The sequence below is a fragment of the Homo sapiens genome, chromosome 12 (assembly GCF_000001405.40).
Source record: "Homo sapiens chromosome 12, GRCh38.p14 Primary Assembly".
NCBI classification, from domain to species: Eukaryota; Metazoa; Chordata; class Mammalia; order Primates; family Hominidae; genus Homo; species Homo sapiens.
The window spans coordinates 78,745,146-78,766,754 of record NC_000012.12 but is presented as its reverse complement, the minus strand read 5'-3'; the positions used below and the strand labels follow the sequence as shown (position 1 = coordinate 78,766,754).

The 21,609-nt window shown below is 33.6% G+C and overlaps 1 annotated feature.

The window, feature by feature from the left end:
- Positions 6,360 to 7,559: an enhancer, noted in NCBI's record as "MED14-independent group 3 enhancer chr12:79152976-79154175 (GRCh37/hg19 assembly coordinates)". NCBI's record gives its function as "activates an origin of replication core promoter dependent on BRD2, BRD4, P300/CBP and CDK7 cofactors, and independent of MED14, by STARR-seq in HCT116 cells {active_cell/tissue: HCT116}" and the evidence as "EXISTENCE:reporter gene assay evidence [ECO:0000049][PMID:35650434]".

The following is a 21,609-nucleotide window of genomic DNA, read 5'->3' as shown; positions in this document are numbered from 1 at the left end:
GTGAAACAAATCAGATCAAATGTATACGTACTGTATAATAGTATTTACATGAAATTAAAGTATAGGCAATATTATCTATGTTAGCATAAATTAGAGTATGTGGGGAGAGATTTACTTGCCACAAGTGAACCTGTTGAAATTATGGCACTTCTATTAAAAGTCAGTTGACCGCAAATCTTTACAGGAATATTGGTTACACAGTTGCATAGACATTCATCAAAATGCACAGGATTGTACTTTTAAGATTTCTACATTGTACATATATAAATGTTACTGCAATTAAAAGAAATGAGCATGTTGAATATAGACCCAGTTTTGTTTGTAGAAAACAAACAAATGTTTGTAGCTCTACAAACATTACTATGTACATTTAAAAGAAACAGAAACAAAGAACTGTATGCCAAATGGTTAACACTGGTTTTCTCTAGGGGTAGATATATTTAGGATTTTCAAGTTCTATGTTCCAAAATTTGTGGTTTATATATTTTAAAATAATGTTATGAGCAGAAAATAAGCACCAATTAAAACATAGAAACATTACATCTAGTTATACCAAACAATGCTAAATGTGCATAAAATAGGAATAAATGGATCGTTAAAAATGTATATGAAAAGACAATTGAAGTGAAAGATTTTGACTATTTTAGATCTCTTATCATTCTGATTGATCAAAGTGGTAAAATCAGATAAAAATTAAATTAACAATATTCTCCTACATAAGATAATTAATAGACATTACCTTTAGTGACCAAATAGTATTTGTCAAAATTTGTCATATAATAATATAAAAATAAGATTAGATTAATGCATAAAATCAGAAATATCGCAGAGTATTTTTCCTGACTGTTATGTATATTTAAAGTAATACGACAATATATCTATAAACAACAATCAAACAAAAACTCAAACAATTGAAGATAAATTTATAGTCCCCTAGTATCAAATTAGTGAGGAAGTAGGTCAGGAATACAGCAAATCACTATTCAGAAACATACAATAAGAATACAATGTAAAAGACTTTAAGGAATATAATAAAAACATCACTTACAGGATGTCAAATGGTAAAACTCTTAATCATGTACATAAAAAGGGTTAACACTGTAGTGTATGAAGAGTACATTCACATTTATATGAACATAATATAAAGAGCAATAAAGAAATGGGATAATGATATAAAAAACACAAATAAGAAATCAATTCATTATAAAATAGTATACATTATTAATCAAATAAGCACAAGAAGAAGAAGCAATAATCAGGTATAATTTTACTTAAATAAATTGATCAATTTAAATATATATATTTGTGTACATTTGCATGTGTGTATACATATACATATATATGCAATGTTGATATTAGTATAAGGAAGTCACATTTGCATAACTGGTGATGATATAACTTGGTATATATATATTTGTATTCACTAACCTTATTCTTGGAAATGTATTTTAAAATACTAATTCCATTTATTTACAGCTATAGCCTTAAAGACTCTTGGTGAAGCTTTATTAATAATTGTAAAAATTGGAAGGAACCTAAGTGCTCTATAATAGAAGAATCATTAAGTTAATTAGGGCTTATCAGTTCAATGAATTTTGATGCAGACATGAGAAAAATAATTACACTCACTATTTGATAACAAATTATGCTTACTATGCTATATTGAACTCAAATACACAAAATATATTTTGTGTAAAATTTGGTTAGCATATTTTTAAATATTATATGGACATGAAGTTAGGATGAACAGAAAAAAGTGTCTGAGAGTATATATAAATTCTTAATAATACTGTCTTCGTGTTATGAAGACCTTTTACTTTTGATTTCGTATATTTCTTTATTGCTAGTTTTTAACCATAAGTAGGCATCGCTCCTGTAAAAAAACTATACACATTTGCATAAATATGTATATATAGACATGCATATATATGGTTTGATTTACCATTTTTGGACTTTATGATAGTTTTTTGGGGGTGGGTTGTAACCCCATTGTACGTTAAAAAGCATCTGGATTTAAAATAGTTCAACTTGTGAATTTTTTACTTTATGATGGACTGATCAGGGTATTAAATGCATTTTGACATACAATATTTTTGAATTATGATGGATTTATCAAGATAACCCCAATTTAAAGAGCATAGGTAATACATATACATACATTTTTACCTACATATGTATATATATGTATATATGTATGTATATTAATTTTATTTTAATTTTTTAAAGTACTAGATGCTGTGATCAGTATCACGGATACAGAAACAGTTAAACTCTTTGCCTCCTAGAAGCTCTCAGTCTCCATGCAGGGGAGCAGGTGGCCTATAAACAGATTACTGTAAGGCAGTGTGAGAAAGTCAGAAAGCTCTGGGAACACACAGGGAACATGCAAAAATGCACAGAGTCACTGCATTAAAGAAATGATATTATGGTCAGTTTTTAACATGCCCTTTACATTGTTATATTATTATTTAATGATAAATATTTAATTAGTTATATTTGAATGTTGTTTGTTAACATAATAAATTCTATGCCCTCAACTTTTCCCAAGAATTTACAGTATCTGTTCACAGATTTCTGTTCAATCTTACTCTTTATTTTCTCCTACCCATTATCCTAGCCAACATGTCCTACTTAGTTATTTCAAAAATAGCATTTGTGAATTTCTTCCCCTTCAACTTTGTTTACATTATTGTTCTAAACAAGAGGTCTGTAAACAAAGTCCATGGGCCAAATTTGGCCCACTGCCTATTTTTGTAAATGAATTTTACAGTTTAATCAACTCATTCATTTATGTATGGCCTATGGCTGCTTTGAAAAAAAAAAAGTAAGACGAGGAGCTATGACAGAGATCATCTGACCCATAAGCCAGAAGTATAAGTATCTATCTGATCATTTACAGAAAAAGTTTGGCGTTCCCTGTCCTAGACTGTTGTCCAAGACTTTAATGTTCTCTTTACTTGTTGAAATATTACGTCTTCCTTCCCCATAGGCTCAACATCATTTGCCATTAGAAAAATGAAAATTAAGACAACATTGAGATAGTAATACATATCTATCAGAATGGCTAAAATCTAAAAATACTGACAATATAAATATTTGTGAGGATTCAGAACTATTAGAACTCTCATTTATTGCTGGTGAAGATAAAAAATGGTATGACTATAGAAAATGGCTTGAAAGTTTCTTATAAAGCTAAACATAGTCTTACTGTACAGTTTCACAGGTATGCTCTTATATATTTACTTGATTGATTTGAAAATGTATGTTCACACAAACACCTTCCATTAATGTTTATAGTAACTTTATTCATAAGTGTCAACAACTGGATGCAACCAAGCTGTCCCACAATAATAGGTGAATAGATAAAACAACTCTGGTTATCTGTGTAATGGTGTACTATTCACCAATAAAAAGAAATGCACTATAAAGTCAAATAAAGACACAGACGAACCTTAAAGGCATATTGCTAGGGAAATAAGACAGTCTGGAAACACTGCATACTGTATGATTCCAATTTATATAACATTCTGGAATGACAAAACTTGAGAGAGTAAACCTATTATTGGGTGCCAGGCATTCGGGGGCAGTGGTTAGAATAGGTGAATCACAAAGGTATTTTTAGGGTAGTAAAAGTGCTCTGTATGACAATCTAATGGTCAGTACGGGACATTAAGCATCTGTTAAAACTTACAGAACTTTACTGTACAAAGCGTTAACTTTAAGTATGCCAATGCTATTGCTTTTGGTGTTTTAGACATGAAGTCCTTGCCCATGCCTATGTCCTGAATGGTAATGCCTAGGTTTTCTTCTAGGGTTTTTATGGTTTTAGGTCTAACGTTTAAGTCTTTAATCCATCTTGAATTAATTTTTGTATAAGGTGTAAGGAAGGGATCCAGTTTCAGCTTTCTACATATGGCTAGCCAGTTTTCCCAGCACCAGACAAATGGGATCTAATTAAACTAAAGAGCTTCCGCACAGCAAAAGAAACTACCATCACAGTGAAGAGGCAACCTACAAAATGGGAGAAAATTTTCGCAACCTACTCATCTGACAAAGGGCTAATATCCAGAATCTACAATGAACTCAAATTTACAAGAAAAAAACAAACAACCCCATCAAAAAGTGGGCGAAGGACATGAACAGACACTTCTCAAAAGAAGACATTTATGCAGCCAGAAAACACATAAAAAAATGCTCACCATCACTGGCTATCAGAGAAATGCAAATCAAAACCACAATGAGATACCATCTCACACCAGTTAGAATGGCAATCATTAAAAAGTCAGGAAACAACAGGTGCTGGAGAGGATGTGGAGAAATAGGAACACTTTTACAATGTTGGTGGGACTGTAAACTAGTTCAACCATTGTGGAATTCAGTGTGGTGATTCCTCAGGGATCTAGAACTAGAAATACCATTTGACGCAGCCATCCCATTACTGGGTATATACCCAAAGGACTATAAATCATGCTGCTATAAAGACACATGCACACGTATGTTTATTGCGGCACTATACACAATAGCAAAGACTTGGAACCAACCCAAATGTCCAACAATGATAGACTGGATTAAGAAAATGTGGCACATATGCACCATGGAATACTATGCAGCCAGAAAAAATGATGAGTTCATGTCTTTTGTAGGGACATGGATGAAATTGGAAATCATCATTCTCAGTAAACTATTGCAAGAACAAAAAACCAAACACCGCATATTCTCACTCATAGGTGGGAATTGAACAATGAGAACACATGGACACAGGAAGGGGAACATCACACTCTGGGGACTGTTATGGGGTGGGGGGAGGCGGGAGGGATAGCTTTAGGAGTTATACCTAATGCTAAATGATGAGTTAATGGGTGCAGCACACCAGCATGGCACATGTATACATATGTAACTAACCTGCACATTGTGCACATGTACCCTAAAACTTAAAGTATAATAATAATAAAATTAAAAAAAAGTATTCCAATGCTTTAAAAATCATTTAGGGTTGAGGGAATTCCAGGATAATTATTAAATGGAATAAAAGAACATGACTATATTACAAATACGTAAAACAACCTCACCAAATGGAGTGGCAGAATAAAGCACTGATATAAATAACTTTAGATAAAAGTGGAGAGTATTAGACTGAAGGCAAAATAAAGTATACATAAAAATTGCACTCTAGGCTGCGTGTGGTGCCTCATGCCTGTAATCCCAGCACTTTGGAAGGCCGAGGTAGGAGGATCATTTGAGATCAGAAGTTCAAGACCAGCCTAGACAACATGGTGAAATACAAAAATTAGCCAGGCATGATGACACTTGCCTGTAATCCCAGCTACTCGGGAGGCTGAGGCAGAATTGTTTGAACCCCGGAGGTGGAGGTTGCAGTGACCCAAGATCATGCCACTGCACTCCAGCCTGGGTAACAGAGCAAGACTCTGTCTCAAAAAATAAAAATAAAAATAAAAATAATTGCATTCTGGTTGATAACATTATTTTCCATGGCATAGGCATTAACAATTCTAAAACCACCATATATGTATAGAGAAATTGAACAATAAAGAAAGTGGAAGAAGATGGTAGGAGTCTGATATGGTTTGGATTTATGTCCCCACCCAATTATCATGTTGAATTGCAATCCCCACGTGTCACTGGAGAGACTCCACGTGTCACGGTGATTGGATCATGAGGGTGGATTTCTGTGATAGTGAGTGAGTTCTCATGCGATCCAATAGTTTAAAAGTGGCACTTCCTCCCTCTCTCTCTGTCTCCTGCCACCACTAGAAAATTGTTCCTTCTTCCCCTTTGCCGTCTGCCATAATTATAAGTTTCCTGAGGCCTCCCAGCCATGTGGAACTGTGAGTCAATTAAAACTCTTTCCTTCATAAATTGCCCAGTCTCAGGTAGTTCTTTATAGCAGTGTGAAAATGAACTAATACAGAGTCATATTTCTAATTACTGGAGCTGTAGATTATAAATACACAAGGGTAAAAAGGTAGCATGATCCATATGATACTTGATTAGAGTTGGAGGCATCATTATTAACTCATCATTAGCTTAATATGGATATAGGTAGTTAAATATAAAATATTTATAGATATGTTTGTATGCATAGTTTAATACACACATGTCTCTGTGCTTTATCGGCTGAAAGGTTCTAAAAACAATGATACTGTAATAGCAACAAATTTACCTACCACCCAGACTTTGGACTTCAGTAAAAGGAGCAAGGGCCTTTTAGAGAAATGGCTGATTTTTGAACTGGAGCAAAAAGTATACATGCAGATGCTGGAGCATTTTGTAATTCTAGAAAGGAAGAACATGCTCAAAAAATAAAAAGAAACTCTATATTATGAGGGCATGTCAAAGGGATATAGAAGTCACCTGAATGAGTTCCCAAGAACCAAGCTGAAAAACTTGAAATACAAAGTAACTAAGTAGTATTGGATCATAACCCAATGCATAAAATAAATATTCATGTGTCTATAATTATAAAAATGATTCAGTAAGAAATAAATGGGGGAAAATAGATAAATACTTCCAAATAATTTATGTAGTTATTCTGCTCTTAAGGAAGTAGAATATGTATTTCCTGCCCCTTAACTGTGGATATAGTGACTTTCTTGTAGAGAGTACAGTAGAGAAAGGGGGGAAACAAAGAGTAAATTTACAGTGGAGAAACCTGAAAAATATTACCTCAATCCAGGTAATCAAGATTATGACAGTAGGCATAATACTGGTTCAACAATGTGCATGTCCTGGTCCCTGGAACATGTGAATATGTTTGTTACAGGGCAAGACAGAATTAAGGTGGAAGAAAGAATTGAGATTGTTAATCGGTTGACCTTCATATAGGCATAGTATCTTACATTACTCAGGTGGGACCAATGAAATCACAAAGATCCTTAAAGATGAAAGAAAGAAACACAAGAGGAAAGTCAGGAGATGTGACAATGGAAAAGCCAGAGAGATGCAACACTGCTGACCTTGATGGTGGGTGAAAGATACCAGGAGTCAAGGGAAGAGGGCAACATCCTGAAGCTGGAAAATAAAAGAAATGGATGCTATTTGTAAGGGAAATGGCTGCGCTTTAGTCAGGAGTAGGCCAAGGCAGCCTTCCCACACAGCATGACTCAGCAGGTTTGGAGTGCAGACACACAACTCTGCACTATCTGTAACAACGCCATGTGAGGCTCATTAGGTGACCACTCACGTGAGCTTGTGCTTGGCTCAGAGCCACTATTGTCTGCAAAGGATATCATTACCCTGCTGATGCTATACATATGTTTCTCGCCCAGAGAGACAATAAAGCCATGTTGAAACTGCCTATGATTCTTCAAGTGTTTTTCCAGCTTCCTGCCCACTGACTCCCCTTGGACCTCAGTTTGGGATAGGACCTGAAAATATTCTAGAGCCTCTGAAAGAGAGGACAGCTCTGCTGACATTTTGATTTTAGTGAGATTCATGTTGGACTTGTAACCTCTAGAAATGTAAGATTTTGTTGTTGTTGTTTGAACTACTAAATTTGTGATAACTTGTTATATCAGTAATAGAAAATAAATACAGCTAATCAACAGTGGGAATCCATATTGATATATGTTTCCTTGACATTTTATGATGAGAATGTCCCCTTACTTCCATGGTCTTCCCCCAAAAAACACATACTCCAGTCAAATCATGAGGAATACATCAGGCAAATCCTAATTGAGGAACATTATATGAGCAACCTGACTGTTAATCCTAAAAACTCTCAAAGTCATCAAAAGCAAAGAATCTGAAGGCTGTTTAAGGGGTTTGGGGATAAATGACTATGTATGTGCTGTGGTTTGAATGTCCCCACCAAACTTGTGTCAAAATTTAATTGCCTTTGTAACAGTACTAAGAGGTGGTGATTTTAAGAGCTGATTAGATCATAAGCATTCTGCCCTCATTAGTGGATTAATGCCATCATCACAAAAGTGAGTCAGTTATCAGGGAGTGAACTACTGATAAAAGAATAAGTTTAGTCCTATTTCTCTGTCTAGTGTAATTACTTCTCCTTTTGCCTTTCTTCCATGGTATGACCCTCACAAGATTCCAGTGCCAGGCTGTTGGAATTCCTAGCATACAGAACTGTGAAAGATAAATTTCCTTTCTTTACAAATTATTCAGTCTGTAGTATCTTGTTCTAGAAGCAGAAAACAGACTAAGATAGAATGTGATAGAATGTAATGTAATGTAATGTAATGTAATGTAATGTAATGTAATGTAATGTAATGTAATGTGTTATCCTGGATGAAATCCTGAAACACAAAATTACAGTAAAACTGAAGAGATTTGAATAAACTATGGACTTTAGTTAATAACAATATATCAATATTAGTTCATTAATTGTGACAAATGTACCATACTAATGTAAATTGCTAATAATTGTGAAAACTGGGTATGCGGTATAAAAAATTACTGTTTTTGTAATAATTTGTAAATATGAAATTTGTAAAACAACAAAAAAAGTATTTTATTATTTATTTTAGATGTAGAGGTTATGTGTGCTTGTTTGTCACATAGGTATATTGCATCACAGTGGGGACTGGGTTTCTAGTGTCCTCATCACTCAAATATTGAATATTGTACCCAACAGGCAATTTTCCAACCCTCACTTCCTCCTATTCTCTTGCCTTTTGGAGTCCTCAGTTTCTATTATCTGCATCTTGAAGTCCATGTGTACTCATTGTTTAGCTCCCACTTATAAATGAGAACATGTGGTATTAGATTTGATTGATTTCTGCCTCTGAGTTAGTCCACTTAGGATAATGGCCTCCAGCTCCATACATGTTGCTGCAAAAAATATGATTTCATTCATTTTTATGACTGCATAGTATTCCATGGTGTATTTGAACATTTCCTTTATCCAATCAACCATTGGTTGACACTTAGATTGGTTCCATGTGTTTGCTATTGTGCATAGTGCTGGGATAATCATTCAAGGGCAGGAATGATTTTTTATATAACAATTTATTTTCCGTTGAGTAGATACCCAGTGGTGGGATTGCTGGGTCAATTGGTAGTTCTATTTTTAGTTCTTTTAAATATCTCCATACTGTTTTCTATAGAGGTTGAAATAACTAATTTGCATTCCCACCAACAGTGTATAAGTATTCCTTTGTCTCCACATCCATGCTAACGTCTGTCGTTTTTTCATTTTTATTTATTTATTTTAGATACGAGGTCTTGCTCTGTGCCCAGGCTGGAGTATAGTAGTGTGATCATAGCTCACTGCAGCCTGGAACTTCTGAGCTCAACTGATCCTTCCTTCTCCTGCACCAGATTTCCAAGTAGCTGGGACTACAGGCACATGCCACCAAGCCTGGCTAGTTTTTTTTTTTTTTTTTTTTCTTTTCTTTTTTTACTTTTCATAGAAGCAGGGTCTCCTTCTGTTGACCAGGCTGGTCTTGAACTCCTGGCCTCATGAGAGTCTCCTGCCTTGGTCTCCCAATTCTTTTAACTTTTTAAATAAAAGCCATTCTGACTGGTGTATGATGACATCTCAATGTGGTTTTAATTTGCATGCTGATAATTGGTGATGTTGAGCATTAAAAAATATATTTTAAAAGGCCTTTGATATGTCTCCAGTTCCAGTCACGGACTTCCATCACACGATAAATCCTAACAAAGAGAAATTTGGCTGAGCCCAGTAAATGCAGGAACTATGAGAGATAATATTTTTAAATGTTATTTTAATGCAACTAAATTTAGAGTGGTTTGCTATGCAGCAATAGATAAAAGGAGCAGTCCTGAAAGCAAACTAATTTTGTTTGTACCTTTTCTCTCTCTCTCACTATGTTGCTTTTTTTTGCAAAGTTGGCCAGTTTATACTAAGATTAGCTGTTTACAAAAAGCCTGAATGCTTTCACTCTACACAATCTTCTGGTTTTTCTATTCTGATGTAAGAGTTCTAGAAACTAATTAAAACCAATTTTATGAGTGAGAAATTACAACTTTTTACTGTATGTTCTATTTTGTAACTTAAATAAGAACTATCATCATCATATACATACAAAAATAGTAATGGTAAAATCAATATGCAACATTCAGTGAGTGCTGACTCTGTGCCATGCCCAGTGCCCAACACCTTACATATTATCTCATTTAATCCTTAAAACTCTATGATAGAAATGCTATTATTGATCATCTTATAGAAGATGAAACCAAGATATAAGTAGATTAAGTAACTTGCTAAATGCATAGATAGTACTCTTTATTAAATATTATTATACTGAGTCATTCAAATAAATTTTATCTTCAACTCAGATATTGTAGATGACATGCATATTTTAACAGAGAATTTAACAGCATTTTAAAACTTCTATGTTTAAGCATGCTGCAAAGAATCACTCTTGTTCTTGCTAGAAAATTTTAAGTCAGTTTTTTAAACTGATATATGAAGGTTATATTATTTTCTAACCCTGATTCTCAAACTTTGGGGTGCATCAGAAATGTCTGTGTTAAAAAATATAAATCTTACTCACCCTCTTGAAATCAAGAGAGATGTGGCCGGTGGCATTATATGTTAAACAATATTTTTTTTCATGTTGTCATTATCATTTTAATACATTTCTTTAATTTTTTTATTATACTTTAACAAAGAGTAAATTTACAGTGGAGAAATTTCTTTCTTATTTTTATTCTTTTATGTTTTTCTTATACTTTGAGTTCTGGGATACATGTGCAGAACGTGCAGGTTTGTTACATAGAGATACATGTGCCATGGTGGTTTGCTGCACCCATCAACCCGTCATCTACATGAGGTATTTCTCCTAATGCTATCCCTCCCCTAGCCCCCGACCCCGCAACAGGCCCTGTTGTGTGATGTTCCCCTCCCTGTGTCCATGTGTTCTCATTGTTCAACTCCCACTTATAAGTGAGAACATGCAATGTTTGGTTTTCTGTTCCTGTGTTAGTTTTCTGAGAACGATGGTTCCCAACTTAATTCATGTCCCTGCAAAGGACATGAACTCATCCTTTTTATGGCTGCATAGTATTCCACAGTGTATATGTGCCACATTTTCATTATCCAGTCTATCATTGATGGGCACTTGGGTTGGTTGCAAGTCTTTGCTATTGTGAATAGTGCTGGTCTTTGCAAGTGATTCTGTGACACTTTAAATCTGAGATTAAGTGCACTGTCAGATTTTTTTTTCAAATTTTCTCCCTTCTCAACAACTTCGAGTTTATTTCTAGTCACTTTCATTATACTTTTTGATAAATGAATAAAAATATGAAATGCTATGAAAGCTTCTAGAAAAACCTTTGCTAAAGAAGAAAACGTTTAATGTGAACCTGTCTAGACCATTGGGATGGTTAGTCATCCAACAATAACACATAGAAAGAAAGTGATAGACAAAATTAATAAGTAAAGTTTTTATTAAAATTATTACTCTATTGCCGAAAGTGTTGACAACATGTAATTTTCTTCTTTGCAGCCCTCACTATAATTTGCTTCATTTGGTTGACTAAGAGGAAAGTTATGTGTTTCTGTAATCACTGTACCAGCTTCAAAAGAAGGTGCTTTCATGTGTTAAGCATTTTATAATGCCAACCAAAAGGCACATTCTTAACAAGAAGAAACCAAAAGCTTAATTTCAATTATGATAATCTTTGCTTGTGACCATTTGAGTGATCCTGCTCAGATCATGCAAAGTACACAAAATATCTTTCTCCTACATATGCCAACCTGTTGTAGAGATGTCTTGCTCTTTAAATGTTCCAGTCCTTAAAATAGATATTTCTAAAGATCAGCCTCAGAACTCAGAATTCACAGTCCTAACTTTCTTATACAAAAAAAAAAGAGAGATAAATTCACTAGAATAAGAACTTTCACTGTGTTTATTTTTCTTTGAGTCCTTGGTATCTTTCCTTGCCACTGGTGTAACGTCAAGAATTTGTTTCTTCGTCCCTAAGCTCTAGGTTTCTTCAAAGACTAAGAACAGTCGACCTCCTATAAACAGAAAGTTGATTTCTGAGGCTATAATATTTTCAAGGAGATGAATACATCTTTCACTTCTAATCTGCCCATATAATTTTCCATCTTAAAGCTCACGTGCTATTCTCATTCCATAGAATAAAATTCAAGTTCTATAACATGGCATAAGCCTCTCCATAATCTTAGTCTTCCTCTTTCTCCAGATTCATCTCCTGTCATTCCTGCCTGACATAAGAGACATCTTAAACTTCTTTCAGTTCCCTGTGTGTTCACCTTATTTTTTCTTAGTGTTCATGTTCTTTATGCAGTATATTTCTCATTTTTTACATTCTTCCTGCCTGCTTCTGGAGCCCATGTGCCTTCTCAAACTTTTAGTCTGACAGTTCAAAAAAGGTATCTAACAGGAATCTGCTTTGCCCTTCAGCCTAGATTAAGTGGTATGCCCTATAGTTCCATGATGCTTTGCACATATCTTGACAGTGTATTTAAATTGTTTTGTTTTAATTGTGTTTCTCTCCCATTGTACTGACCTATTTAAGGATAAGTAATAATCTAATTCATCTTGAAAATTTCTAGAGACAGGATTATAGTTACCCTCCAAAAACATTGAACAAGGGAATTAATATCTTATGTTAGATGTCAACAAGAATTTGTTGAATTAAGTGCAAAATTGGATTAATGAAGACACTGCAACAATCAGGCTGGATGGTAAAGAAAAAATATATAGGCAATTGTCAAATACCAAGCCAAGAACTGAATTATTTTTCTTGCTCTGAAATTTTCTTCCAGGGTAAGAACATTTTTTATTTTACTTGTTTTAGAAATATTTTAATATATCAAAGATATAAATATATAGTACATATATCATTATTAAGTTTACTGAATGGCCTCCTCATTAATCCATGAGGTCATTAATATTATTGATTTTATATTCTCAGGGTGAAATATTCTTGGCTCAGAATGAACACATAGTAAATACTTTTTGAATGAGTGAATGATGAACTGAATGAATAGACACTTTTGTTTAAGATTTCTTATTTTGTTAATTCAGGTGTGAATAAAGCCAATAATCAGGGCTAGATCACACTGATAAACAATAGAAATGTTTTGAATTTCAAAAGGAAGTTCAGAAATCAAAATTACAAATTTTGACTATTTGTTTAAAAGCACTCTCAGCTGAGAAAGAAAAGAAAATGTGTGTATACTAACCTGTGTATATACACATATCTACAAATATTTCTATATGTAAATATACCTACTGACATTAAGCAAGATATGAGTTGATACTGATATTGCCACTTTAGTCCATTAGCACGTGGGTCATTCTACCCTACACCCCCTAATTACATGTACCCTCCCACTCAAACAGTGAGAAAACTGACTCCCAACTTCTTCCACTTACTTCACTGTGCAATTACAATATATATAATTTCAAAATTGCTAACAACTAACCCTTTGGAAACCAACTTTATCAACCAGAGTACAGAGCTATGTTTAGTTCCTTTTGCCTTTACTTTAAAAGACTCCACTCATTTCCAAAGTTACTTAGGTCAGCATTTTTATTCCCCAACCCCATTAAGTGAAGCCGCTTCATATTTTATAATACAGTTAGGTTCTTTTGTCATGTTCAGCATCCTATCCTTAAATCACCTGAGTTTTAAAATATTTTTAAGATTTGCATCCATGAAGTTTGATTCTTTGTGCTGTGAAGTTCTGTGGGTTTTGGCAAAAGCACAGTGTAATGTATTTACCATTACAATATTACACATAATAGTTTCACCACCAAAAATAAATCATCTTTTCTTCACATATGTAATTCCTCCACACTCCTCCAATCCCCTGACAGCCTCTTGTTTACTGTCTCTACAGTTTTGCCTTTTGAGGAATTCCATTTAATGCAGTAATAAAATACATTGCCTTATTAGGCTGGCTTCTTTCACTTAGCAATATGTATTTAAGATTCATCCATATCTTTGTGTGGCTTGATAGCACATTCATTTTTATTGCAGAAAAGCATTCCATTATATGGCTGTATCACAGGTTGTTTATCCATCCTAAGTTGCAGGACATCTTGGTTGATAACAGTTTTGAGTGATTATAAACAAAGCTGCTATAAACATTCTCATGCAGATTTATATATACATATGTTTTCAAATCATTTGAGTGAATACCTAGAAGTGCAATGCTAGATCATGTGTAAACACTACGTTCTACTTTGTAAGAAACTGCCAACCTGTCTTTGAAAGTGGTTATACCATTTTTTCCTCCCACAGTAATGAACAAGAATTTTTGTTGCTCCACGTTTGCTTACCAAAATTGGTATTGCCTATTTTTTATTTTATTTTAGCCATTCTAATAATTGTGTAATATTTTCTCACTGTTATTTTTGTTTGCATTTTATTTATTTATTTATTTATTTATTTATTTATTTATTTGTTTGTTTTTGAGATGGAGTCTCACTCTGTCACCCAGGCTGGAGTGCAGTGGCACGATCTCGGCTCACTGCAACCTCCACCTCCCAGGTTCAAGCAATTCTCCTGCCTCATCCTCTCGAGTACCTGGGACTACTGGTGTGCGCCACACCTGGCTAATATTTGTTTTTCTAGTAGAGACGAGGTTTCGCCATGTTGGCCAGGTTGGTCTCAAACTCCTGACCTCAGGTGATCTGCACACCTCGGAGTTCTGAGATTACAGGCATGAGCAACGGCGCCTGGCCCTTGTTTGCATTTTATTAAGAGTATAGTATATGATATTGACCACCTTTTCAAATACTTATGTGATATATATATAATCACAAATATATAAAATATATATCACATATATAAATATATACCACAAATATATATATACACATTTATATATATATATATATTTTTTTTTAAAGCTGACTGGTCAAATCTTTTGCTCATTTTTAAATTGGATGGTTTGTATTATTATTATCGAGTTATAAGGGTTTTGTGTATTCCAGATACAAGTTCATCATTAGATGCACACTTTTCAAATATTTTTCCCCAGTCTTTGGCTTGTTTTTTCATTCCCGTAACAATGTTGTATTCATTCTCTATGGCTGCTGTAACAAATTACCACAAAAGCCTAAAATTGTAGAGATATAATCTCACACATTTCTGAAGGCCAGATTCCAAAATCTATTTCACTGGGCTGAAAGCAAGGTGTTGGTTGGGCAATACACTCTCCAGATGCTCAAGGGAAGCACCTGTTCCTGCCCCCTTCCAGCTTCTAGAGGCTGTTGGAATTCCTTGGCTTGTAGCCACATCACTACAATCTCTGCATTTGTGGTTATATTGTGATCACTTTTGTCTATATAAAATTTATTTCTACTTTTTTTATAGAGGTGATTACATTTAGTGTCTACCTTCTCAATATCCTTTATTTACTCACATTTGCAAAGACTCCCTTTCCAAATATAAAATAATATTTACAGGTTTGAGAGAATAGGACCTTATATCTTTTAGGAGAGATTATTAAGCTTTCTAAAGTGAATTTTGCACAGCAGAAAGTTTCATTTCACTCCTTTTTTTCTTTCACTGATTGGGCTATTCATATTTTATCTATAACTTCAAATTTCATTTCAGTCCTTTTTTTTATTTCATTGATTGGGCTATTTATATTTTATCTATAACTTCAATTTCATTTCAGTCCATTTTTTTTCTTTGGGCTATTCATATCTTATCTATAACTTCAAATTTCATTTCAGCCCATTTTTTCTTTCATTGATTGGGCTATTCATATTTTATCTAAAACTTCAGAATCAAACACAAGATGATATAGATTGTCCTATGTTTTCTTCCAGAACTTCTATAGTTTGGTATTTTATAGTCTTTGATACATTTTGAATCAATTTTTGAAAGTTGTAAGGTCTGCATCTAAGTTCTGGCATGTGAATGCCCAATTGTTCCAGCATCATTTGTGGGAAAATATTAATCTTTCACTACTGAAATGACTTGCACATTTGTACAAAGTCAGTAAACTGTATTTGAGTTTGTCATTTTGGGCTCTCTATTGTGTTTCATTGATCTGTGTGTCTATTCTTTCTCCACTATCACACTGTTTTGATTACTGTAGTTTTTATAGTAAGATTTAAAAACAAGTAGTGTAAGCCTTTGAACTTTGGTGTCATATTGTTTGACTAGCCTAGGTATTGCCTTTCTATATAAACTTTTGAATCAGCTTGTCAACATCTGCTAAATAGTTTTCTGGGGTTTTGATTAAGTGTAAAAATCAGATAGGGGAAGAACTGACAAAGTATTGAGTCTCTCAATCCATGAACAAGAAATAGCTCATTTATTCAACTCTTCTTTGATTTCTTGCATTTGTATTTTGCAATTTTATAGATACAGATCCTGTACATAAATTGTCAGATTAGTACCTAAGTACTCTTCTTTTTTGGTAATATTCCTTGGGACTTTCTCCATAGACCATCATGCAATTTGGGAACAAAAACCTTTTTTTGCCTTTCTTTTCCATCTCTATGCTATTTATTTATCCATGTATGCATTATTCCACTAGGTAGAACTTCAAGTATGATGCTGAATAAAAATGCTGAGAAATGATATCTTTGTGTTGTAAACAATACCAGAGGCTTCTCAATATCTTTCTCTTATCATTAAATATTATGCTAGCTGTAGGTTTTTAATAAAATATTTCAAAAATTAACTTTAGGAAGTTCTTTTCTATTAGAAGTTTGCTGAACATTTTGATCATCAGTAGGTAAAACCTTTTTCTGCACCAATAAATAGGATAGAATTTTTTTCTTTAGCCTTTTGATATGGTATATTGATTTTTGAATGTTAGACCAGGCTTGAATACTTGGAATTAATCCCACTTAGTCATGGTGTACATTTCTTTTTACGCATTTTTGAATTACATCTGCTAATGCTATGTTGAGGATTATTACATCTATGTTTATTAATGATATTGGCCTTTTACTTTCTTTTTAGACAGTGTTCCTTCTGCTTCTATTTCCTGAAAGAGATTATGGAGTATTGGTATCATTTCTTCCTTGAATGTTTTGTTGAGTTAATTAGTAAAATTATTTAGGCATTGTGCTCTGTTTTGGAAGGTTATTAATTATAGATTCAATTGCTTTAGTTGATATAGATCTATTCAGATTACTTATGTCTCCCTGTGTGAGTTTTTATAGCTTGTGTTTTTCAAGTAATTGATCGATTTCATCTAAGTTATCAAATTTATACACATGGAAGTATCTCTTTATTACTCTTTAATGTTCATGATATCAGTAGTAATAACCTTCTTTCATTTCTGCTATTGGCGATTTGTATATTCTCTCCTTTGGCCTCTGTGTGACTAAAGGTTTATTTTTATTCAGCTTTTCAAATAACAAGATTTCAGTTTTATTGATTTGCTCTAATTTTTGTCTACAAATTCATGGATTTCTGCTCTAATATTTTAGAAGTTACTTTATTTCACTTTGTTTAGGTTTAAATTACTCTTCTTTTTCTAGATTCTTAACTAGAAATGTAGGTTAATGAATTTAGATCTTTTTTCTTTTCTGGTATGTAAATTCAGTTCTATAAATTTCCCTCTAAACTCTTCTCACTGCTTCTCACAATTTTTTACAAGTCGTACTTTCATTTTCATGGAATTCAAAATATTCTTAAAATTTCTCTTAATACTTATTTTTTGGCTAATGGATCATTAAGAAGTATGCTGTTTTATTCCAAATATTTAGAAATTTTCTAGCTATCTTTTTGTTATTGATTTATAGTTTAATTCCAGTGTGGTCTGAGAAGATATGCTGTATGATTTTTATGGTTTTAAATTTATTAAGTTCTATTTTATGACCCAAATGTGGTCCATCTTGGTAAACATTTATTTAATTTTTTGTTTTTTTGGGCACATAATAGGTGTATATATCTATGGGTTGCATGAAATATTTTGATACAGGCATGCGATGCGTAATAATCACATCAGGGTAAATCGAGTATCCAGCACCTCAAGCATTTATCCTTTGTGTTTCAGACAATCCAATTATACTCTTTTAGTTATTTTTAAATGTACACATTTTTTTTACCATAGTCACTCTGTTTTGCTACTAAATACTAGGTGTTATTCATTCTATCTCTTTGTACCCATTAATCATCCTGACTTCCCCGCCCCAACCCCTCACTGCCCTTCCTAGCCTCTGGTAACCATCCTTCTACTCTCTATCTCCATGAGTTCAATTGTTTTGATTTTTAGCACCTACAAATAAGTGAGAACATGTGTTTGTCTTTCTGCGCCTGACTTATTTCACTTAACATAATGACCTCTAGTTCCATCCATGCTGTTGAAAATGACAGGATATTATTCTTTTTTATGGCTGAATAGTACTCCATTGTGTATATGTACCACACTTTATCCATTTATCTGTTGATTGACACTTAAGTTTCTTTCAAATCTTAGCTATTGGGAATAGTGCTTCAATAAACATGGGAGTACAGATAACTCTTTAATATGCTAATTTCCTTTCTTTTGCGTACATACCCAAAAGTGGGCTTGCTGGATCATATGGTAGCTCTATTTTTAATTTTTTGAGGAATCTCCAAACTGTTCTACATGGTGGTTGTACCAATTTACATTCCCACCAACAGTGTATGAGGGTTCCTTTTTCTCCACATCCTCACCAGCATTTGTTGTCATCTGACTTTTGGATAAAAGCCATTTTAACTGGGGTGAGATGACATTTCATTGTAGTTTTGATTTGCATTTCTCTGATGATCAGTGATGTTGAGTACCTTTTCATATGCTTGTTTGCCATTTGTATATTTTCTTTTGAGAAATGTCTATTCAGATCTTTGCTCATTTTTTAATTGTTATTAGATTTTTTCTATAGAGTTGTTTGAACTTATATATTCTTGTTATTGATCCCTCGTCAGATGGAAAGTTTGAAAATATTTTTCCCATTCTATTTTTCTCCCCTTTGTTTATTGTTTCCTTTGCTGTGCAGAAGCTTTTAAACTTGATGTGATCTCATATTTCCATTTTTGCTTTTGTTGCCTGTGCTTGTTGGTTATTGCTCAAGAAACCTCACAATCACTAACCTACATTTTATCTCTATGGGTTTTTCCATTCTTGAAGATTTTAAGTAAATGAAACTAAATAATTTGTCATCCTTTGTATCTGGCTATTTTACTTAGCATAATGTTTTCTGGGTTCATCCATTTGTAACATGTATCAGCATTTCATTATTTTTTATGGTGGAATAATAATCCATTGTATGAATATTTCATGTTTTATTTATTCATTCAATTGATGAACATTGGGTTTTTTCACTTTTCAGCTACTATGAATAATGTTGATATGAACATTAATTCAAGTCTGCTATCAATGAATTCTCTCAGTGTTTTTTAAAACCTGAATGTCTTAATTCTCCTTTAGTTTTGAAGAATAGTTTCTTATATATAGAATTCTTGGTTAAATTTTTCTAAAAGCACTTTGAATATGTCACACAGCTGTGTTCTGGATTCCATGGTTTCTGATGAGAAATTAGCTATTAATATTATTGAGGATAATTTATATCCTCAATATAGTGTGATGAGTCACTTCTCTCTGGTTGATTTTAAGAGTCTCTCCTGCCCTTTGGCTTTTGACAATTGATCATGATGTGCTTAGGAGGGGATCTTTTAAGTTTACCCTACTTGGAGTTCATTGAGCTTCTTGAACATATAATGTTTTCATCAAATTTAGGAAGTTTTTGGTTATTATTTATTCAAATATTCTTTCTGCCTATTTCTTTCTCTTCTATCCTCATAGGACTCCCATTATACCTATCTTGATATGTTTGATGGTGTCCTACAGGTCTCTTAGGGTCTGTTTATTATTCTTTATTCTTTTTTCTTTTTGTTTATCAAACTGAACAATCCCATTTAACTTCAAGTTTCCAGATTTCTTCTCCTGTCTGCTCCAATATGCTATTAAGCTCCTCTAGTGATGTTTTTTTCATTTTAGTTATTGTGCTATTGAACTCCAGAATTTATATTTGGTTTCCTTTAATAATTTCTGTATTTTTAATGATATTTTCTATTTGATAAGGCATCATTCTCATACTTTCCTGTACTTATGTAAACCATGTTTAAAAGAAACATTTTTTGAGCTCTTTAACATATTTAAAATAGCTGTCTTAAAGTCTTTGTCTAGTAAGTGAACTGTCTGGGCTTCTACAAGAACAGTTTCTATTTACTGTTTATTTTTTATGTGTTTATGAGCTGCACTTTCTTGTTGCTTTGTATGTGTCATAATTTTGTGTTGAACACTGGACATGTAAAATAATATAATGTGGCAAATCTGGAAATCAGTTTCTCTCCCTTCACCAGAGTTTGCTGTTGTTGCTATTTACTGTAGTTTTCATTTTTTTCTTGATGTTTCTGAATGAATTCTGCAAAATATGTATTTTTTATTGTTATGGCCATTGAAGTCTCTGCTCAATTAGCTTACTGGTTAGTTAATATTGAACAGACATTTTCTTTATTGCTTTGAACAAATGAATATCCCAATGTCTGCCAAAAGCTCTCTGTACATGTTGGGGCATGCCTTCAACACTCAACACTTCAACACAACAAGCAGTTGACATCTCTATCTTAGCCTTTATCTTTTACTTTTAACTACCTGCTGGAGCATTAGCTGGAGGTGAATGTTCAGGGCCTCTCAGGTCTTTCCTAGGCATGCACACAATCCTCAGTATGTATACAAGCATGCATGTGAATTTTTAGATTACGAAGAACATGTCAGAGGTTTTCAAAATGTCTCTACGCATACTATTCTCCAGATTTTCCTCTTAAGATTTACAGTTAATCTATTGTTTGCACTGTTATTCACCACTCCAGACAGCTATAAAATTAAAATGCTTGCTGTAATTGTTTTCAACAAACAACTGTGAAAGAAAGGGCTTTTTTACACTTGGATATGCTTTGTTATGTTATATACAAACAGCCTTGCAACTAGGGTCTTCCAGGGAACCGCCAGGCAGGTTAAATAATGACAATTCTTTGTGCATAAGACTTTGAAAGGGTTGTAAATAAATTGTATTTCCTCAGACAACTTCCAGGCTGCACTACGAATTTGGGCTGTTTACTTTTTAAAACTACTGCATAGGTGGAAAGAAGAGATGAGACTAGGGCAAGCTAAAAATGCCACAAAGCTCATTGTTATTTCCAAGATTTAACTGTTTGTTTGTTTCATTTGTTTATTGAATGAATGCTCCCTGGGTTTCTTACAGACTCTAGTTAGTTTCCAGCATTCTAGAAAAGTTGATTTTGAAAAATTTTTCCAGTGTTTTTTTGGTTGTTATTGTTGTTATTATGAAGGCAAGAATTTTTAGGGGTGTTTGGGCCAGGCGCGGTGACTCATGCCTGTAATCCCAGCACTTTCGGAGGCTGAGGCGGGTGAATCACGAGGTCAGGAGATTGAGACCATCCTGGCCAACACGGTGAAACCCTGTCTCTACTAAAAAAAAATACAAAAATTACCTGGGCGTGGTGGTGGACGCCTGTAATCCCAACTACTCAGGAGGCTGAGGCAGGAGAATCCCTTGAACCAGGGAGTCAGAGGTTGCAGTGAGCTGATATCATGCCACTGCACTCCAGCCTGGCGACAGAGCAGGACTCCATCTCAAAAAAAAGAAAAAAAAAGAATTTTTACAG